Source organism: Homo sapiens, chromosome 4 (genome assembly GCF_000001405.40).
Source record: "Homo sapiens chromosome 4, GRCh38.p14 Primary Assembly".
NCBI lineage: Eukaryota > Metazoa > Chordata > Mammalia > Primates > Hominidae > Homo > Homo sapiens.
The window spans coordinates 128,077,282-128,098,981 of NC_000004.12; the positions used below are offsets into that span (position 1 = coordinate 128,077,282).

General features: G+C 42.6%; 1 protein-coding gene across 54 annotated transcripts in view, besides 1 other annotated feature; it reads left to right on the forward strand.

Moving 5' to 3' along the window:
- LARP1B (La ribonucleoprotein 1B) overlaps window positions 1-21,700 on the forward strand; it is a 162,138-nt gene that overhangs the window by 16,493 nt on the left and 123,945 nt on the right. For 44 of the 54 annotated variants that reach the window (XR_938753.3, XR_938754.3, NR_146772.2 and 41 more), the window contains 5 exons: window positions 507-681; window positions 4,884-5,024; window positions 13,720-13,863; window positions 14,066-14,231; window positions 20,905-21,049. Coding sequence is in view for 50 of the 54 variants with exons in the window: in XM_017008340.2 (XP_016863829.1) it covers window positions 507-681; window positions 4,884-5,024; window positions 13,720-13,863; window positions 14,066-14,231; window positions 20,905-21,049 (771 nt within the window). In the remaining 4 variants the exon portion in view is untranslated. Of the gene's footprint in view, window positions 1-506; window positions 682-4,883; window positions 5,025-13,719; window positions 13,864-14,065; window positions 14,232-15,498; window positions 15,751-20,904; window positions 21,050-21,700 lie in introns of those variants that run through there. The other 10 variants (XM_011532061.3, XM_011532065.3, XM_011532068.2 and 7 more) reach the window with 5 other exon arrangements.
- Window positions 4,319-4,519: a silencer, noted in NCBI's record as "peak5106 fragment used in MPRA reporter construct". NCBI's record gives its function as "represses an SCP1 promoter by STARR-seq MPRAs in K562 erythroleukemia cells {active_cell/tissue: K562}" and the evidence as "EXISTENCE:reporter gene assay evidence [ECO:0000049][PMID:32103011]".

Sequence of the window (21,700 nt, forward strand, 5' to 3'; positions counted from 1 at the left end):
GGGGTTAGGAGTTCGAGACCAGCCTGACCAACATGGCGAAACCCCCTCTCTACTTAAAAAAAAAAAAGAGTTAGCCAGGTGTGGTGACATGTGCCTGTAATACCAGCTACTAGGGAGGCTGAGGCAGGATAATTGCTTGAACCCAGGAGGTGGAGGCTGCAGTGAGCCGAGATCGTGCCACTGCACTCCAGCCTGGGCAACAAAGTGAGACTCTGTCCTCCCGCCCCCGCCCCTGCAAAAAAAAAAAGTGGTATTGATTTGTTGTTACTGAGTTTTGAAAGTTCATATGTATTTGAGGTAAAAGTTCTTTATCAAATACTTAGCAAATACTTTCTCCTAGTCTGCAGCTTTACTTTTAACTGTCTTTTGAAAAGTAATTTTTTGCCTTTGATAACAGTTTTTGTCATTTGTTTTGCAATTTTAGGTTAGGTATATTGCCACAAATTTTTGGGTATGTTAGTGAAAATATTAATGGAAATCATTTCATTCTGAAAACCTTTTTGCAGTTTCAGAGCGTCCTCAGCCAAGGAAATAAAAAGCCACAAAATAGAAAAGAAAAAGAAGAGAAGGTTGAAAAGAGAAGTAACAGTGACAGCAAAGAAAACCGGGAAACAAAATTAAATGGTCCTGGTGAAAACGTCAGTGAGGATGAGGCTCAGTCAAGTAATCAACGTAAGAGAGGTCAGTTTGTCCATATCTTTATTTTGATTTTAGTTTTTGAAGAAAGTTGTAATGAGGAATTACATTTCATTAACTGATCTCTGGTAGTCAAAAATGTATAGTTTGTATTTCTTCAGGATAAACAATCTGCAGAGGTAACTCATTTGCTTTTGTAACATTTCTGAACTATTAGACTTTCCTTTTTGTATGTAACTTGTATTCTATGCAAGAAAATGGAATGGAGTTCCACTTAGAGGTACAGTTGTAGATACATTCTTGGAAAGTTGTGTGATAATTATTGTTCTTTTAGATCTGCATTGGAACTGCTCCCTATATTTAGGGAGTACTGTGAAAATTAAATACATTTTTTTCCTAAGAGAAAAGTGAGAATAGGCTGGGCGCAGTGGCTCACACCTGTAATCCTAGCACTCTGGGAGGCTGAGGCAGGCGGACCACTTGAGGTCAGGAGACATGGTGAAACCCTGTCTCCACTAAAAATACACAAAAAAATTAGCCGAACATCGTGTTGCGCACTTGTAGTCCCAGCTACTCGGGAGGCTGAGGCAGGAGAATTGCTTGAACCCAGGAGGTGGAGGTTGCAGTGAGCCGAGGTCGCGCCATTGCACTCCAGCCTGGGCGGCAGTGCAAGACTGTCTCAAAAAAAAAAAAAAGTGAGAATAATTTTAGTCAATCTTTTCCCTCATAGCATTCCCCTGTCAAAATTACACTTTGAAGGAATGAAAATATTGTCTTCATATCCTTTTCCATTTTCTTTTCTGAACTTTTCGTGTGTCTAGGGACAGTTTATGATTTACATGCTTTGTAAATCAGTGCTCGGAGTCTTCGTAAAAGTGTCTTCAGGCGCTTCTAGGCAGAAAAGGGCTTTAAACTGTTAAGTTGTCAGTGACTGAAGCAAGGTGATTTTCTGGGAGAGTAGCAGGAGGTGAGGTTAGAGACATAGATAGACAACGTCCATGGTATACAGGGCCTTGGAGTTATGATTCCATTTTGAATACCATGGGAAACCATTGAACCAAGATTCTCTGGAGGTGATATGGCATGGGAGGGAACATTTAATGGTAAAGTTGTTGCCAACTTCTTTAACACTTTAACTTTTACCGTAGACTGATCACTTACTTGAATAGTTTGTCTTTTTTTTTTTTTTTTTTAAGAGACAGAGTCTTGCTCTGTCACCCAGGCTGGAGTGCAGTGGCCCAGTCTTGACTCACTGCAACCTCTGCCTCCCGGGTTCTAGGAATTCTTCTGCCTCAGCCTCCTGAGTAGCTGGGATTACAGGCCCATGCTACCATGCCCAGCTAACTTTTTGTATTTTAGTAGAGACGGGGTTTCACTGTGTTGCCCAGGCTGGTCTTGAAATCCTGAGCTCAGGCGATCCACCTGCCTCGGCCTCCCAAAGTGCTAGGATTACAGGCATGAGCCACCGGGCCTGGCCGAATAGTTTGTCTTTTTAATAAATAACTAATCCTTAGTGCAGGATGAGCATTATATTCACTTGATACAATGAATAAAGGCTAATTGCTCAAAAACAGTGACAACAAGACAAACAAGTGGTTGTTAGAAAAATTTCTTCCTGTTTCTTTTTTTTTAATTTTTAAATTTAAAAATGTTTTTAAAATTTTGAAACAGGGTCTTGCTCTGTCACCCAGGCTGGAGTTCAGTGGCATGCTCGTGGCCCACTGCAGCCTCGATGACCTGGGCTCAAGTGATCCTCCCACCTCAGCCTCCTGAGTAGCTGGGACTACAGGCATGTGCCACCATGCCTGGCTAATTTTTGTATTTTTTTGTAGAGACAGGGTTTTGCCATGTTGGCCAGGCTGGTCTTGAACTCCTGGGCTCAAGCGATCCATCTGCCTCAGCCTCCCAAAGTGCTGGGATTAGAAGTGTGCGCCACCATGCCTGGCCTCCTCATTTCTTAACTACTTCGTCACTTAACTGTTCCCTGCTTCCTACATACGTAAGTAGTGTTCTTGACTGTCTAGAATCCATACAGATGACAGATTTGTTATCCTGATCTAAAATTTGTCTTTTTTTTTTTTTTTGAGATGGAGTTTCGCTCTTGTTGCCACGCTGGAGTGCAATGGCGCGATCTCCAGCTCACTGCAACCTCTGCCTCCTGGGTTGAAGCGATTCTCCTGCCTCAGCCTCCCAAGCAGCTGGGATTACAGGCACCACACCCAGCTAATTTTGTATTTTTTTTTTTTAGTAGAGACGGGTTTCTCCATGTTGGTCAGGGTGGTCTCGAGCTCCCAACCTCAGGTGATCTGCCCGCCTTGGCTTCCCAAAGTGCTGGGATTACAGGCGTGAGCCACCACGCCTGGCAATTTGTCTTTAATTGCTTCAATTAAAACTGGTCAGTCAACAGTAAAACCCAGGTGTTTTGTAGTTAGAACAATTGGTATAATCAAGCTTTTAATTGATCTAGAGTACAGATTTTTGACTTTAAAAGAAGGGCTTCTTTGTGTCAAGGAATCTCGTTGACATAATTTATAGTATAAGATTAAAAGCCTTTTTAGATGCATTTATATTCACTTTTCCTCATTTGATCCATAGTTTGCAGGATTTATAGGATATCAATATTGTAGTTGCACACTAATATTTATTTTTAAATTGCCTTGGCAGTTTTTTCATTGCCATGAGTCTTTATTTTGGTAGAAAATTTAGATTGGGCAGAATACTGAACATTTTGAAACCTGAGCTATGGCATTCATGAATAGATGATCTTCAGAATTTCACTATAGAATAACCATAAATAATTAGTTACATTGTCATTTAGTCATCAAGAAAAGTTAAACTGCTTGTGTTTTTTTTTCCTTAGGAAGATGCATAATAGCTGTAAAATGTTCTGTCAAGTTAAACAAATTTTATACTTATCCCTCTTCCCTCTTATATTTTGAGAAACCTCATTCATTTGTAAAAATCCTGGGTAAATTAATATTTTAGGCAGTGATGTGGAACTAAAAGTGCTGCAAACCTAAAGCCTAACTTTCCAAAGTATACATTATAGCGTTTTATCAGATATATCCCATTCTAAAGCCTAAGAATTTTAAATTAAACAGATTTTTTTTTAAAAAAGCCTAAGAATCAAGTACTAAACAGGAATGTTATGTATATATACTTTTTTTTTTTTTTTTTTGAGACAGACTCTCGTCTCTGTCACCCAGGCTAGAGTGCAGTGGCACGATCTCGGCTCACTGCAACCTCTGCCTCCCGGGTTTAAGGAATTCTCCTGTCTCAGCTTCCCGAGTAGCTGGGACTACAGGCATGTGCCACCATGCCTGGCTGATTTTTGTATTTTTAGTAGAGATGGGGTTTCACCATGTTTGCCAGGCTGGTTTTGAACTCCTGACCTTAGGTTATCTGCCCGCTTCAGCCTCCCAAAGTGCTAGGATTACAGGCATGAGCCACTGCGCCCGGCCTTTTTTTTTTTTTTTTTTTTGAGATATAGATATTGGACTGTTAATTGTCATTGAAGTATTTTGGTCTGAGGTAGGCTTATGCAGAGGAGAATGTTTTCATGTTACTTATATTAACATTGTTTCTTCTACGAAATGACAGATTGGTCCAATGTGATGTAAGGAGTTCAGTTGTGTGTTTGGGATTTTTGGGCGGCTGGGCGTCGAGCTTGAACGCTTTGATGGCTGCTTTTAGGCCAACTATGGGGATTGTACTTTTTACTCTCTTTACAAGGTTTTTTCCTAGTGTCTAAAGAGCTGTCCTTCTTTAGACTAACAGTTAAATTTACAAGGGGATTGGGGGTTCTGTAGGCAAATTTAAAGTTGAACTAAGATTCTATCTTGGACAACCAGCTATCACCCAGGCTGGAGTGCAATGGCACGATCTCGGCTCACTGCAAGCTCCGCTTCCCAGGCTCAAGCTATTCTCGTGCCTCAGCCTCCCGAGTAGCTGGGATTACTGGCGTGTGCCACCACACCTGGCTAATTTTTGTGTTTTTTAGTAGAGACAGGGTTTCTCCATGTTGGTCAGGCTGGTCTTGAACTCCTGGCCTCAAGTCATCCGCCCACCGCGGCCTCCCAAAGTGCTGGGATTACAGGCATGAGCCACCGTGTCTGGCCTCTTTACAAATAATCTTAAAATACACATTAAGTGTTTCACTTATTTGATTAAAGTTCAGAGTGCTTTCAAATTGCAAGGGTTTAGTGAAAATTGTACATTTGTCCTTAAATGATTTTGTTTTCTTCAAGCTAATAAGCACAAGTGGGTACCACTCCACTTAGATGTTGTAAGATCAGAGAGTCAAGAAAGACCTGGATCCCGGAACAGCTCAAGATGTCAACCTGAAGCAAATAAACCAACACATAACAATAGGAGAAATGATACACGAAGTAAGTTACCATTCTAAGACAAAAATGACTAAGGAAAGACTTAGTCTTAATGCTCGTTATTTTAGTAACCACATGTATAAACCATTTGAGAATAAGTTGAAGACATCATGTCCCTTTAACCCCAAATACCTTCAGGGTATATTTCATAAGAACAATATAACCGTAATGCAATTAACAACAATGAAACTTAACATTAATACAATGTGATTGTCCACAGGCAGATTTTTCTCAATAAAGTCCTTTATAGTCGTCCCCTCCCCTGCTCCAAGGATCCATTCTGGGATCACCCATTTAATTTAATTTTTTTTTTCTCTTTAGGCTCCATTAATCTGTAACAGTTCTTGCTTTTGTCTTTCATGACATTGATTTTTTTGAAGATTGTAGGATAATCGTATTGTAGATATCCCTTACTTTGGGTTTTCTAATGTTTCCTTATGATTGGATTGGGGTTGTGAATTTTTGGCAGGAGTACTGTATAAGAAAATATATCATTTTCTTCTTTTTTTTTTTTTTTAATTTTTATTTTTTTTATTGATCATTCTTGGGTGTTTCTCGCAGAGGGGGATTTGGCAGGGTCATAGGACAATAGTGGAGGGAAGGTCGGCAGATAAACAAGTGAACAAAGGTCTCTGGTTTTCCTAGGCAGAGGACCCTGCGGCCTTCCGCAGTGTTTGTGTCCCTGGGTACTTGAGATTAGGGAGTGGTGATGATTCTTAACGAGCATGCTGCCTTCAAGCATCTGTTTAACAAAACACATCTTGCACCGCCCTTAATCCATTTAACCCTGAGTGGACACAGCACATGTTTCAGAGAGCACAGGGTTGGGGGTAAGGTCATAGATCAACAGGATCCCAAGGCAGAAGAATTTATCTTAGTACAGAACAAAATGAAAAGTCTCCCATGTCTACTACTTTCCACACAGACACGGCAACCATCCGATTTCTCAATCTTTTCCCCACCTTTCCCCCCTTTCTATTCCACAAAACCGCCATTGTCATCCTGGCCCGTTCTCAATGAGCTGTTGGGTACACCTCCCAGACGGGGTGGTGGCCGGGCAGAGGGGCTCCTCACCTCCCAGTAGGGGCGGCTGGGCAGAGGCGCCCCTCACCTCCCGGACGGGGCGGCTGGCCGGGCAGGGGGCTGACCCCCCCCACCTCCCTCCCGGACGGAGAGGCTGGCCAGGCAGAGGGGCGCCTCACTTCCCAGTAGGGGCGGCCGGGCAGAGGCGCCCCTCACCTCCCGGACGGGGCGGCTGGCGGGCAGGGGGCTGACCCCCCCACCTCCCTCCCAGACGGGGCGGCTGGCCGGGCGGGGTGCTGACCCCCCCACCTCCCTCCCGGACGGGGCGGCTGGCCAGGTGGGGGGGCTGAGCCCCCCCACCTCCCTCCCGGACAGGGTGGCTGGCCCGGCAGAGGGGCTCCTCACTTCCCAGTAGGGGCGGCTGGGCAGAGGCGCCCCTCACCTCCTGGACGGGGCGGCTGGCCGGGCGGGGGGCTGACCCCCCCACCTCCCTCCCGGACGGGGCGGCTGCCGGGCGGAGACGCTCCTCACTTCCCAGACGGGGTGGCTGCCGGGCAGAGGGGCTCCTCACTTCTCAGACGGGGCGGCTGCCGGGTGGAGGGGCTCCTCACTTCTCAGACGGGGCGGTTGCTGGGCGGAGGGTCTCCTCACTTCTCAGACGGGGTGGCTGGGCAGAGGTGCTCCCCACATCTCAGACGATGGGCGGCCGGGCAGAGACGCTCCTCACTTCCCAGATGGGATGGTTGCCGGGAAGAGGCGCTCCTCACTTCCTAGATGGGATGGCGGCCGGCAGAGACGCTTCTCACTTTCCAGACTGGGCAGCCAGGCAGAGGGGCTCCTCACGTCCCAGACAATGGGCGGCCAGGCAGAGATGCTCCTCACTTCCCAGACGGGGTGGCGGCCGGGCAGAGGCTGCAATCTCGGCACTTTGGGAGGCCAAGGCAGGCGGCTGGGAGATGGAGGTTGTAGCGAGCTGAGATCACGCCACTGCACTCCAGCCTGGGCACCATTGAGCACTGAGTGAACCAGACTCCGTCTGCAATCCCGGCACCTCCGGGAGGCCGAGGCTGGCGGATCACTCGCGGTTAGGAGCTGGAGACCAGCCCGGCCAGCACAGCGAAACCCCGTCTCCACCAAAAAAGTACGAAAACCAGTCAGGCGTGGTGGCGCGCGCCTGCAATCGCAGGCACTCGGCAGGCTGAGGCAGGAGAATCAGGCAGGGAGGTTGCAGTGAGCCGAGATGGCAGCAGTACAGTCCAGCTTCGGCTCGGCATCAGAGGGAGACCGAGAGGGAGAGGGGAGAGGGGAGGGGGAGAGGGAGAGGGAGAGGGAGAGCGGAATTTATTCTATCATTTTCTTCTTAGCGAATCACATGGGAGTATGACCTTGATTTGTCCCATTATTGAAGATACTAACTTTGATTACCCCTGTAACTTTGATTATTAGTTTGATTACAACATTGATTAATATTAACTTTGATTACCCCTGTAACTTTATTTGATTATTAGTTTGATTACAACATTGATTATTATTATTATTATTTGTTTTTTGTTTGAGATGGAGTCTCGTTCTGTTGCCCAGGTTGGAGTGCAGTGGCGTGTGATCTGGGCTCACTGCAACCTCTGCCTCCCGGGTTCAAGCAATTCTTCTGTTTCAGCCTCCCAAGTAGCTGGGACTACAGGCACATGCCACCACACCCGGCTAATTTTTAAATTTTTAGTAGAGATGGGGTTTCACCATATTGGTCAGGCTGGGCTCGAACTCTTGACCTCAGGTGATCCACCCACCTCGATGTCCCAAAGTGCTGGGTTATAGGCTTGAGCCACTGCGACTGGCCACAATGATTATTAACCTTGATTACTTGGTTGAGGTAGTGTACTCTAGACTTTTAAAAAATTTTTAAGTTTCTTCAGCTTTTTTGTTTAATTTCTTTTCTCCCTTTGTAATTACTGTGTAATTTGTGGAGAGAGGCTTTGAGACTGTGGAGATAATAATTTTCTCAGACTTTTCAAACAAGCCTTAGCTTCCTTTTTTTTTTTTTTTTTTTTTTTTAAATAAGTGATGGGGTCTCATTCTGTTGCCCAGGCTGGAGTGCAGTGGGACAGTCATAGCTCACTGCAGTCTTGAACTCTTGGGCTCAAGCGATCCTCCCACCTCAGCTTCCCAAGTAGCTATGATGACAGGTGCGTGCCACCATGCCCGGCTAATTAAAAAAAAAGTTTTCTTTAGAGACAGTCTTGCTTCGTTGCCCGGGCTGGTCTTGAACTCCTAGCCTCAAGCGATTCTCCTGCCTCGGCCTCCCGAAGTGTTGGGATTACAAGCATGAGCCACCGCACTTAGCTTCTCCCTCTTTATTGCCAAATAATATTCTGTTGAATGCATATAGCCCTTTGTCTTTTCATCTGTTGATGGATAAGTGGCTTGTTTATAGTTTTTGGTCTTCATGAATAACGCTGATGAATAGTTGTTTACAAGTCTTTGTGTGGAATGTATGTATTTCTCAAATGCCTGTGAGTGAATTGATTGGTCATATAGTAGCTGTATATTTAACATTATAAGAAACTGCTACTTGTAGCATTTTACATTTCCATCAGCAACTTTTTTTCTTTTTGCTATGTGTTAAGTCCCATGTCTAGTGGAATTCCTGTATTTTGGATTTGGCTGATTGCTTTGTCATGGTATTCTTTTTTTTTTTTTTTTTTTTTTGAGACTGAGTCTCGCTCTGTCGCCCAGGCTGGAGTGCAGTGGCGCGATCTCGGCTCGCTGCAAGTTCCGCCTCCCTGGTTCACGCCATTCACCCACTGAGTAGCTGGGACTACAAGCACCTGCCAGCACGCCCGGCTATTTTTTTTGTAGTTTTTAGTAGAGAGGGAGTTTCACCACATTAGCCAGGATGGTCTTGATCTCCTGACCTCATGATCCACCCTCTTTGGCCTCCCAAAGTGCTAGGATTACAGGCGTGAGCCACCTCGCCCAGCCGCTTTGTCATAGTATTCTTTGGCATTTGCATGTTCCTTTTTTTGAGACAGGGTCTCACTCTGTCTTCCAGGCTAAGTGCAATGGCATGATCTCGGCTCACTGCAACCTTCACTTCCTAGGCTCAAGCGATTCTCCTGTCTTAGCCTCCTCAGTAGCTGGGACTACAGGCATGCACAACAGTACCTGGCTAATTTTGTATTTTTTTGTAGAGATGGGGTTTCCCCATGTTGCCCAGGCTGGTCTCAAACTCTTGGGCCCAAGCGATCTTCCAGCATCAGCCTCCCAAAGTGCTGGGATTAGAGGTGTGAGAGCCACTGTACCTGGCCTGCCTGTTCCTTTTGTCTTTTCTTTTTATAACTGGCAATAAGAAGGAGCTAGGTTGATTAGATTCAGGCTTATTTTTTTGCTTGGAATACTGCTGTGTGTATTTCACTTTCAGTTGTGTTAATATTGAGTTAGCTCAGGTGTTAGGTTGATCAGTCCATTATAAATTATTCCATTAGTCTTTTTTTTTGAGACAAAGCCTCACTCTGTCACCCAGGCTGGAGTGCAGTGGCGCGATTTTGGCTCACTGCCTTCCAAAGTGCTGGGATTACAGGTATGAGCCACTGCACCCTGGCCCATTAGTCTTTACTGAATGGTTTTACTTTCATTAAAATCATTGGCCAGATACTTTTTTTTTGTCTTGAGACAGAGTCTCGCACTATTGCCCAGGCTGGGTTCTCCTGCCTCAGCCTCCCGAGTAGCTGGGATTACAGACATGGGCCACCATGTCTGGCTAATTTTTGTGGTTTTAGTAGAGGCAGGGTTTCACCATTTTGGGCCAGGCTGGTCACGAACTCCTGACCTCAAGTGATCTGCCTCCCTTGGCCTCCCAAAGTGCTAGGATTACAGGTGCGATCCACCGCATCCGGCCCAGATACATTTTTTCACAGGGATTGCTCAGATTTTCAGAAAGCAGAGGATAGGATATGTGGAAACAATAGGATGAGCATTTGTTTTTATAGTTTTCTGCTGAAATCTGATAAGTCATGTCCTGTGAATGGATAAGAAGGCCTAAGGAAATTTTACAGACTTAATATTAGCATTCAAAAATTTTAAATATACCTATGTAGAGGTAAATGTATTTTGATTAAAAAAATTTCCAATATATTATGAAAAACTTTAAACATACAAAAAATTGAAAGAATTGTTCAGTGAATACCTGTCTAGCCACCATCTAGATTAATAATTTCTCTGTATTTAATTCATTCATCTGCTGAATCCCTTGAAAGTAACTTGGAGATGTTGACGCTTTATCACTAATGTCCTAAGAAAATGCATCATCTAAGAAAATCACACTAGTTTCCTAGTACCATCTAAAATCTAGTCAATAGTTAATTTTTCTCAATTGTCCACAAAATATGACTTTTAAATTATAAAACTTTAGCTAAATGCAGTGGTGCAAGCCTGTAGTCCCAGCTACTTGGGAGGTTGAGGCAGGAGGATTGCTTGAGCCTGCGAATTTGGGGCTGTAGTGCACAATGATCATACATGTGTGGGGGGGAGCATATATATATATATGCATATGTATAAAACTTGTCTATAGAAAAATTGACTTTTTTTCTATTGTTTTTCAAAATGTCATTTTAAGTTTTTATTCTAAAAGTAATGGATTCTCATAATTTCATTAATTTTTTTCTTATTAAATATTGAATATATAAGAAAATAGACAAAGTTATACAGAACAACAATATAATGAGCTGAGTATGGTGGCACTCACCTGTAGTCCCAGCTACTTGGTAGGCTGAGGTAAGGAGGATTGCTTGAGAGCCCAAGAGTTCCAGGCTGCAGTGAGCTATGATCATGCCACTGCAGCCTGGGTGACAGAGTGAGACCCCATCTCTAAAATCAATAATAATGATGATGATGATGATGAACAGTGGAAACTCACCCTGTTTAAGAAATGTATGTTACTATTACTTTTAAACTTCGCTTTGTGCACTCTGCAATTTCATCCCATTGTCTCGGAAAAAATGAGCTTAAGTGCATTGGTTTCTTTCATGTTTTGAAATCGCCATGCAATGTGACTTTATCAACATTCTTTGGCAGGAATTTTTGTTTTTTTAATTCAGCCTACTTTTCTTTAGATTAATGCATGTTGGTTGTATTACTGTAAGTCTTTTCCTGCTGAAAGGCTGTTTCACTATTTGATAAAATCTGTACTAACGGTGGGTATTTGGATTGTTTCCAGTTTTTTTGATATTAAGGTACTACCACGAACATTTTAATGCATGTTTTCCAGCACACAAGTACAAGAGGCTCTCTATGGTAATTTTTTCAGACTGCAGACTACACTCTGTGAGTGGGTTATGAAATCAGTATATTGGTTCATGATCAGGTTTTTAAAAACCTAGAGTGCTTCACATAGTAAATTTTTAAATGATATGTGTTTATAAAATTTTTTGTAAGTGTACTTGTATGTAAAATAAATAAGGCTTACTTACAGATTAAGGCAGAAATGTTTGAAAAAGTGGCTGGACGCAGTGGTGCACACCTGTAATCCCAACACTTTGGGAGCGGGAGGTGGCTTGATCTGGGAGGGGGAGGTGGGTGGATCGCTTGAGCTCAGGAGTTTGAGACCAGCCTGGGCAACATAGTGAGAACTCATCTCTGTTAAAAAAAAGGAAATGTTTGAAAAAGACTGTTTTAGGTCTAAGCATTGAGGATGGAACTATGGGATCTAGGGTAATGTTCTCAGTGAGGGTGATTTTTTTTTCCCCAAAGAGTCATTTGGCATTGTCTGGAGATATTTGTTACTGGTTGTCACAACTGAGGGAGTGAGTGGGTGCTACTGGCATCTAGTGGGTGGTGGTCATGGATGATGCCAAACATCCTGTAGTCCACAGAACAGGCCCCCACACCAGAGTCTAAAGTGCTAAGGTTGTAAAACCTTGTCTCTAGGATTTGCATATCTTCACATTAATTAGATTATTCCAAGTTGATTTTCAAAGTAGATATACCTATTTTCAACCTCATTAGCAATATATGAATGTTCTACCTGTTTTTTGAGACAGAATCTCACTCTGTTACCTAGGCTAGAGTGCAGTGGCGAGGTCTCGGCTCACTGCAACCTCTGCCTCCCAGGTTCAGGTGATTCTCCTGCCCTAGCCTCCCGAGTAGCTGGGATTACCGGCGCCCACCACTATGTCTGGCTAATTTTTGTATTTTTAGTAGAGATGGGGTTTTGCCATGTCGGCCAGGCTGGTCTCGAACTCCTGACCTCAAGTGATCCACCCACCTCAGCCTCCCAAAGTGCTGGGATTACAGGTGTGAGCCACCGCACCCGGCTAATGTTCTACCTTTTTAAACTTTGTCAACATTTCATATTAGAGACATTAAAATATTTGTTGTACTGGGGTAAAGAGCCTTTCATTGTCTTAATTTGCATTTCTTACAGTCCATAAGGCTGAACACTGTTTTCGTTTTTCTTTTTTTTTTATTCTGAGACGGAGTCTTGTTCTATGCCCAGGCTGGAGTGCAGTGGCAGGGTCTTGGCTCACTGCAACCTCCGCCTCCCAGGTTCAAACAATTTTTCTGCCTCAGCCTACTGAGTAGCTGGGATTACAGGCACTCCACCACCACGCCTGGCTAATTTTTTGTATTTTTGGTAGAGGCAGGGTTTCGCCATGTTTCCCAGGCTGGTCTTGAACTCCTGAGTTCAAGCAATTTGCCTGTCTCAGCCTACCAAAGTGCTGGTATTACAAGTGTGAGCCACCACACCGGGCCTCTTTTTTTTTTTTTTTGGAGAGGGAATCTCGCTCTGTAGCCCAGGCTGGAGTGCAGTGGTGCAATCTTGGCTCAATGCAACCCCTGCCTCCCGAGTTCAAGTGATTCTCCTCCTTCAGCCTCCCGAGTAGCTGGGATTACAGGTGTGTGCTATGGCACCCGGATAATTTTTGTATTTTTAGTAGAGGCGGTATTTCAGTATGTCAGCCAGGCTGGTCTCCAGCTTCTGACCTCAGTTGATCCGCCCCCCTTGGCCTCCCAAAGTGCTGGGATTGCCGGCCTGAGCCACCGCGCCCGGCCTTGTATGATTATTGACCCATTGGTAGGCACCGTTTTCTGTATTTATTGTCCACTTGCATTTTTTTACCTTGCTTGTATTTTAGATATTTTTCCCATTGAGTGGTTGTGTCTGTGTGTGTTGCATGAGAGAGAGTCGTATGAGTTCTTACATGTACTCTAGATAGAATTTCTATATTTCGCTTCAGATATCTTTTCTCAATTTGTTTTGTGTTTTCATTTCCTTTTTACTTTATAAGGAATGTCATTTACTTAAATAGAACCATCCTTAAATATTTCGTGAGAAATGTTTTTTAGCAGTTTTATGTAGTACAAACTTAGTAGTCTTGGAACTTCTTGAATCTTTAACAGCACAATCTTAATAAAACTATCTCTTTACCTTTCTAGTATGTTATTTTACTTGTTAGAATGTATTCTTCATGTGTCAGTACCTTTTAGGCTCTGTTTTATGCTAGAGATATTTTTGATAAATTCTTATTGGATCTCTTCAGTTTGTATCCATCTGAAAAATGCCTGGCTACTGTTCATTAGTTACAAAGTGGAAGAAGGTGGCTATTATGTTTTCATAAAGACAATCATGTTATTTTACTTGGCAAATCGAAGTATATAAAAATATTTTTATTTTTAAAAGGTTGGAAGCGAGATAGAGAAAAAAGGGATGATCAAGATGACGTTTCCAGTGTGAGAAGTGAGGGTGGTAATATCCGAGGTTCCTTTAGAGGTCGAGGAAGAGGCCGAGGACGGGGAAGAGGACGAGGCAGAGGAAATCCTCGATGTATGACATAATTTTTGTTTCGTTAAATTAGATAAACTTTGAAAAAAATAGAGCAACTATCCTCTATTATGTTTTAACTAATTTTCTTTGTCTGATAATAGATGGTTTTATGTTTGTTAACCTTTGAAGTTCTTCACTTTATCCGTAGTAACTATTTTTTTCTAATATGTGATTACCTTTCTTTTTCTTTATTCACATCAAGTGAACTTTGATTATTCATATGGTTATCAAGAACATGGTGAAAGGACTGATCAACCATTTCAAACAGAACTTAATACCAGTATGATGTATTACTATGATGATGGTACAGGTGTACAGGTGTATCCTGTGGAAGAAGCATTGCTTAAAGAGTATATTAAGCGTCAAATGTAAGTGGATGTTTGATGTAAGCAGACGGGATAGCAAAATCTGTTGCAATATGAACTTTAATGTCATTGATAATGAATATGCTATAATTTTTTTTTTTTTTTGAGACAGAGTCTCACTCTGTTGCCCAGGCTGGAGTGTAGTGGTACGATCTTGGCTCACTGCAACCTCTGCCTCCTGGGTTCAAGTGATTGTTCCGCCTCAGCCTCCTGGGTAGTTGGGATTACAGGCACATGCCACCACACCTGGCTAATTTTTGTAGTTCTGGTAGAGAACGGGTTTTGCCATGTTGACCAGGCTGGTATTGAACTCCCGGCCTCAGCTGATCTGCCCACCTTGGCCTCTCAAAGTGCTGGGATTATAGGCGTGAGCCACCATGCCTGGCTGTTTATAACATTTTTAAAGCTACTTATTTGTAAAGGTTGGAAAATGTTAAAAATTATTTTGATTATATATTTTTAGGGAATGTGATTAAAGTAGGTGTTTTTAAAATTTTATATTTGGTTTATGTTGTTTATATAAGTCTCCTGGCTTCTATAGTATTTAGATATTTTTCTCCTTAAAGGAGATTAGGTAAAATGTTATTGCATAATATGAATAAATATAAGACTGTAAAGCTTCTCTATATATACTTGAAACTGAACAAGTAAAATTTGGCTTATTATTTGCCAATAGGTGTTTATATTAGAATTTGCAAATTAACATAAATAAAAAATGGTGGTATCTTTTGATTTTCTTCTTAGCAATTGACTTCTGAATTCTTAAGTTTTTTTTATCTTCTAAGTTTTTCTTTGTGACACAATTAAATGGGGACTACCTTATATTTTAGTTCAGATTTCTTACTCTAGTTCTCATAGTAGTTGCTTTCTGGGTACTGAATGTGAAGTCAGGAGAATATTAGTTCTATTTTCTGAAAGAAAAAACAAACCCTATGCATATTAGTATTGTATAGGATATTTTGCTTATTTATATAGTATGTTTTTATAGAGGCAAGAGAAAAATGTTGCCAAGTAATTTGCATAACCAATTTGTTAAAACTTGAAATTTTTCTCTCCTTACAAGGTGAAGGAAAAGGGCTATTTTTGAAAGGGCATAGGCATTTAAAAATCATCTGTTTTTCCAAAATAAAATAGACTCTACTCTGTTACTAGAAAATTTCTTTATCATCATCAGCCAGGCACCTTCCTGGGTTGCCTTCATGGTGGATCCAATTTGCTTACAGTGTGGAGCAACTTGTTTATATTGTTCTTGCTTCTTTTGTTACAGTTGATGCAAACACTGAAGAAAAGGGCCTTTTTGTGGGCAGAAAGTGCTTGACATGTGGCTGTCAACTTCATACCACTATTACTGTCTTTTTTGTAACTTTTGCTGCCAAGTCCCTTCTGAGACCTGACAGTGGACATGCAACTCCATGTCAGGATAATCGGCCTCCAGTGTGCTCATACAAGTGAGGGAGGAGCAGAGCTACTTCAGTGTTGACAAAATTTCTGATCATGCAGTGTAGAATCCAGAGCCTCTAAGGTAGGACTTGATGATGTCCCTAGGACACTGAGCAAAATGTCAGACATGGCATTGGTCATGCCTCTTTTTTTGTTGTTGTTCTAGCAGTAGGGATTTTGGCAAATGTTAGTAGAGCACTAGGTTTAGTGTGGCTTGTTATTATTATTACCATTCTTTGATTAGTGGAGATGTGGCTTTGAAGGAGTCGTGCTTTTTACTTTGTATTATTTGGTTTCTAATATATAGATAGGCTGATTGATTGAGGTTTTGATTTTCTTTTTGAGAAGTCACTAAAAGTTTTCCTGGCCAGGTGCGGTGGCTCACGCCTGTAATCCTAGCACTTTGGGAGGCCGAGGCGGGCGGATCACGAGGTCAGGAGATCGAGACCATCTTGGCTAACACAGTGAAACCCCGTCTCTACTAAAAATACAAAAAATTAGCCGGGCGCGGTGGCGGGCGCCTGTAGTCCCAGCTACTCTGGAGGCTGAGGCAGGAGAATGGTGTGAACCTGGGAGGCAGAGCGTGCAGTGAGCCGAGATAGTGCCACTGCAGTCCGGCCTGGGCAAAAGAGCCAGACTCTGTCTCAAAAAAGAAAGAAAAAAAAATGTTTTCCTGACACCTGTGGAAAAATGATGCAAAATGTATCGTACAGTATGAGGCCTAAACGTATTCAAAATGGTTGAGGGGTTTTTTTTAAACTTTTTTTTTTTTTTTTTTGAAATGGAGTTTTGCTCTCGTTGTGCAGGCTGGAGTGCAATGGCACGATCTCGGCTCACTGCAACGTCCGCCTCCCAGGTTCAAGCAATTCTCCTGCCTCAGCCTCCCGAGTGGCTGTGATTACAGGCATATGCCACCACGCCCAGCTAATTTTTGTAGTTTTAGTAGAGACGGGGTTTCATCTTGTTGGTCAGGCTGGTCTCAAACTCCTGTCCTCAGGTGATCCACCCACATCAGCTTCCCAGAGTGCTGGGATTACAGGCGTGAACCACCGTGCCTGACCTTTTTTTTTTTAAAAACATTTTAAAAACTTTTTATTGCAGTCTACTTTTTTTTAACTTTTTAAAAATTTTTTTGAGATGCTAATTTTTGTATTTTTATTAGAGACAAGGTTTCACCACGTTGGTCAGGCTGGTCTCGAACTCCTGACCTTGTGATCCGCCGTCCTCGGCCTCCCAAAGTGCTGGGATTACAGGCGTGAGCCACCACACCTGGCCTACTTGTTTTTAACATTTTAAGTGAAAACTTGTATTAATTGTTTGTGATGTCAGCATTAAAATGTAAAGATCTTGATTATTTCTAGCTGTGATAATCTCTCTTGGCACTCAGATGACAGCACTCTGATAGATTTGTAGATCTTTAGAGGTTTTTTCCTTTTTTCTTTTTCTTTTTCTTTTTTTTTTTTTTTTTTGAGACATTGTCTCACTCTGTCGCCCAGGATGGAGTACAGTGGCGCAATCTCGGCTCACCTCAACCTCTGCCTCCCGGGTTCAAGTTCAAGCAATTCTCCTGCCTTAGCCTCTCGAATAGCTGGGATTAGAGGCACGTGACACTGCGCCCAGCTAATTTTTGTATTTTTAGTAGAGACAGGGTTTTGCCATGTTGCCCCATCTGGTCTCGAATGCCTGAGCTCAAAGTGCCTGGCCAGGACAGTTTGTTATTGATTTAGGGAAGTTCACATCTCACAGCTAAGAACAGTTGTAACTTGTGACTAAATTAAATGTCTTAATGTCTGAAATTTTAGAATTTTTTTTTTCTTTTGAAATGGAGTTTTGCTGTTGTCACCCAGGCTGCAGTGCAATGGTGCAATCTTGGCTCACTGCAACCTCCGCCTCCCGAGTCCAAGCGATTCTCCTGCCTCAGCCTCCCCAGTAGCTGGGATTACAGGCACGCAACACCATGGCCGACTAATTTTGTATTTTTAGTAAAGTCGGGGTTCCACCATGTTGGTCAGGCTGGTCTCGGATTCCTGACCTCAGGTGATCTGCCTGCCATGGCCTCTCAAAGTGTGGAAATGACAGACGTGAGCCACCGTGCCCTGCATGAAATTTTAGAATTTTAACACATGTATTATGTATCTGCCACATGCCAGACACTATGAATAAGGCTTTTGAGGTGTAACAACCATCAGAATCTTCATTGCTTTAAGACTTCAGTGTTTAAAATTTTTTCCTTTAGTGTTTAAAAAGAGTAAATGAGGCCAGGGCATGGTGGCTCACTCCTGTAATCCCAGCACTTTGAGAGGCTGAGGCAGGTGGATCATCTGAGGTCAGGAGTTCGAGACCAGGCTGGCCAACATAGTGAAACCCCGTCTCTACTAAGAATACAAAAATTAGCCGGGCATGGTGGCACACACCTGTAGTCCCAGCTACTCAGGAGGGTGAGGCAGGAGAATCGCTTGAACCTGTGAGGCGGAGGTCGCAGTGAGCCGAGATCATGCCATCCCACTCCAGCCTGGGCAATAAGAGTGAAACTCCATCTCAAAAAAAAAAAAAAAAAAAAAAGTAAATGATTTACTAGTGTTACTGAGTGAGATGTCAGTAGTATTTCAGTAGTCTTTGAGAGAGCTTTGCACTCTGACAATTGGGTAAATATCAAACTATTAAAGGAAAATTTGGATATTTACATTCTTAAAATAAGTTGATTTATTTTCTTCCCCTTCAGTAAAAGGTAGCTGAAAACAAGTTTCCAGTTATAGATGCCTTTTTTTCAAAGATAGAATTTGGCCCATATACTTCAAGGGCATCTTTAGTCACTGAGTTTTATACCCCAAAATGTGAGCTGGTTTGTTTTCTCATAACTTGTATTCCATGTTTGAAAACTTTCTCTGTGATTTGGAAATAGTGTGGGATTATTAAACTGTAGGCCCCATCATCATTGATGTTATGTATTTCTTTTGTATCATTCTTCTCTATATTTTCCCGTTTGTCTTCTTCTCTGTCTTTAAAATCCTCATACTCTCATTTACATATATGGAGGCTATAATTTTTTTTTTTTTTTTTTTGAGACGGAGTCTCGCTCTGTTGCCCAGGCTGGAGTGCAGTGGCACGATCTCAGCTCACTGCAAGCTCCGCCTCCCGGGTTCACACCATTCTCCTGCCTCAGCCTCCCACGTAGCTGGCACTACAGGCGCCCGCCACCTTGCCCGGCTAATTTTTTGTATTTTTAGTAGAGACAGGGTTTCACCGTGTTAGCCAGGATGGTCTCGATCTTCTGACCTCGTGATCCGCCCGCCTCGGCCTCCCAAAGTGCTGGGATTACAGGCGTGAGCCACCGCGCCCGGCCTATGGAGGCTATAATTTAAACATGTATTTCTCTCTCTTTAACCTTTCCTATGGTGTGGATAAACATGTATTTCTCAAAGGCTATTATTAAATGTATTGTGAATATTATCTTTATATCTTGGGATTTGTAGTTACTGATCATACTGACAGTTCATCCATTTACATTTCTCTCGGAAAGGTTAAGTGGGTTTGTGTTTTTCAAGAGAAGATAAAACATCTAATCATCTTCTATATTTTTGCTTCCATGTGCCTCATGGTGTCAAGGATATTCCTTCTTTAGCTATATTCTGTTCACCCTTAATGTCTTTCTTTTTTTTTTTTCTGTTTGAGATGGAGTCTCGCTCTGTCGCCCAGGCTGGAGTGCAGTGGTGTAATCTTGGCTCACTGAAAGCTCCGCCTCCCAGGTTCACGCCATTCTCCTGCCTCAACCTCCCGAGTAGCTGGGACTACAGGCGCCTGCCACCACACCCGGCTAATTTTTTGTATTTTTAGTAGAGACGGAGTTTCACCATGTTAGCCAGGATGGTCTCGATCTCCTGACCTTGTGATCTGCCCGCCTCAGCCTCCCAAAGTGCTGGGATTACAGGCGTGAGCCACCATGCCTGGCTAACGTCTTTTATTATTGTTTTTAGACAGTCTTGCTCTCGCCCAGGCTGGAGTATAGTGGCACCATCCCTGTTCACTGCAACCTCTGCCTCCTGGGTGCAATTGATTCTCCTGCCTCAGCTTCCCGAGTAGCTGGGATTACAGGCACCCGCCACCATGCCCAGCTAGTTTTTGTATTTTAGTAGAGATGGGGTTTCCCCATATTGGTTACGCTGGTCTTAAACTCCTGACCTCAAGCGATCCACCCACCTCAGCCTCCGAAGGTGCTGGGGTTACAGGCGTGAGCCACCTCACCGGGCCACCCTTAATGTCTTATGGTCTGTCTATCAAAGAAAGAAGCATGGAGAACTTGAATCGTTCAAAATATATATGTGCACATATGCCTGTGTGTTCACTAAGTTTTTTTTGTTTTGTTTTGTTTTTTTTTGAGATGGAGTTTTGCTCTTGTTGCCCAGGCTGGAGTGCAATGACGCGATCTTGGCTCACTGCAATGTTTGCTGCCCGGGTTCAAGGGATTCTCCTGCCTCAGCCTCCTGAGTAGCTGGGATTACAGGCATGCGCTACCACACCCGGATAATTTTGTGTTTTTAGTAGAGACAGGTTTTCTGCATGTTGGTCAGGCTGATCTTGAACTGCCGACCTCAGGGGATCCACCCATCTCAGCCTCCCCAAGTGCTGGGATTACAGGCATCAGCCACCGCGCCTGGCCATGTTCACTGAGTTTTTAACTAAGAATTGTGCTGGTTACTAGGCTTCAGAAGTATTAAACATGGCAGTACTTTGTCAACTTAGAAAACAAAATGAACTACTTTTCTGTATGTGAATTTGACAAAGGATATTTCCAGTATACCACTCTTCTCAGCGACTGGGAAAAAGGTGGAAGGCATTATGCTAACATGGGATTAGCTTTGTTATCTAATGCTTAAATGAAACAAGTAGAAGTGGCTTTGTAAAGATTTTCATCTAATTAACTCATTAAAAAAAATTATTGAACTATTTTAAGGTAAAATGAGCAGCTTAATTCTTTATATTTAGTGAAACTGATCTAAATAGAAGTTATTAATTTTTTGGAAAATAATATTTTAAGTTTAAGAGAAATTATTAATTCAGTAGAGTTTTTTGCTATCTTATATGTTTACCCTATCTGTGTTGTATTAGAGCTATACATATTGTTAACCAAATTACAATATTTTCATGTTAATGATTGGTTTTCACAGTTAATGTGGGAGCAATAGAAATATTTATTTCCTACTAAATAAATGGATGAAATTCTGATTTCTCTTTTCAGTGAATATTACTTCAGTGTAGAAAATTTGGAACGAGACTTCTTTCTTCGGGGAAAGATGGATGAACAAGGTTTCTTGCCTATTTCCCTGATTGCTGGTTTTCAGCGTGTTCAGGCTCTCACTACAAACCTTAATCTCATCTTAGAGGTAATTGCTCATTTGATGAACAATTTGTACTTTCTGCTCAAATTTCCTTTGTACCTAAAACTTCTCTGAAAAACAGAGTACTAAAAACAGACAATCTGTAGTTGCTTGAGGCTCAGACAGCATTCCATGATGTTTTTCTATTTTGTAAAACCTTCATAAATGTCTAACCTTGGAAACCCCTGAAAGTATTGCTAACGATGTTACTGTGTATTTTCTCCTTCCCCTCCCCCTCAATTAGTCAACCTATTTTAAACCTGATCCTTCAAACTTTAACCCTTTTGAACACCCTTGGTCCTTAAAACTTCTTCAGGGCTGGGCGTGGCGGCTCGCACCTGGGTGATAGAGTACAACGGCGCAATCAAACACAAATTTCTTCAGGTTACTGTAAAAAAGCATGTGTTCCTGTATATGTATGTGTATATATATATATATATATATTTTTTTTTTTTTTTTTTTTTTTTTTTTAAGACAGTGTCTCACTCTGTTGCCCAGGCTGGAGTGCAGTGGCATGATATCGGCTCACCACAACATCTGCCTCTTGGGTTCAAGCGATTCTCCTGCCTCAGCCTTCTGAGTAGCTGGGACTACAAGCACGCACCATCATGCCCGGCTAATTTTTGTATTTTTATTAGAGACTTGGCTTCACTATCT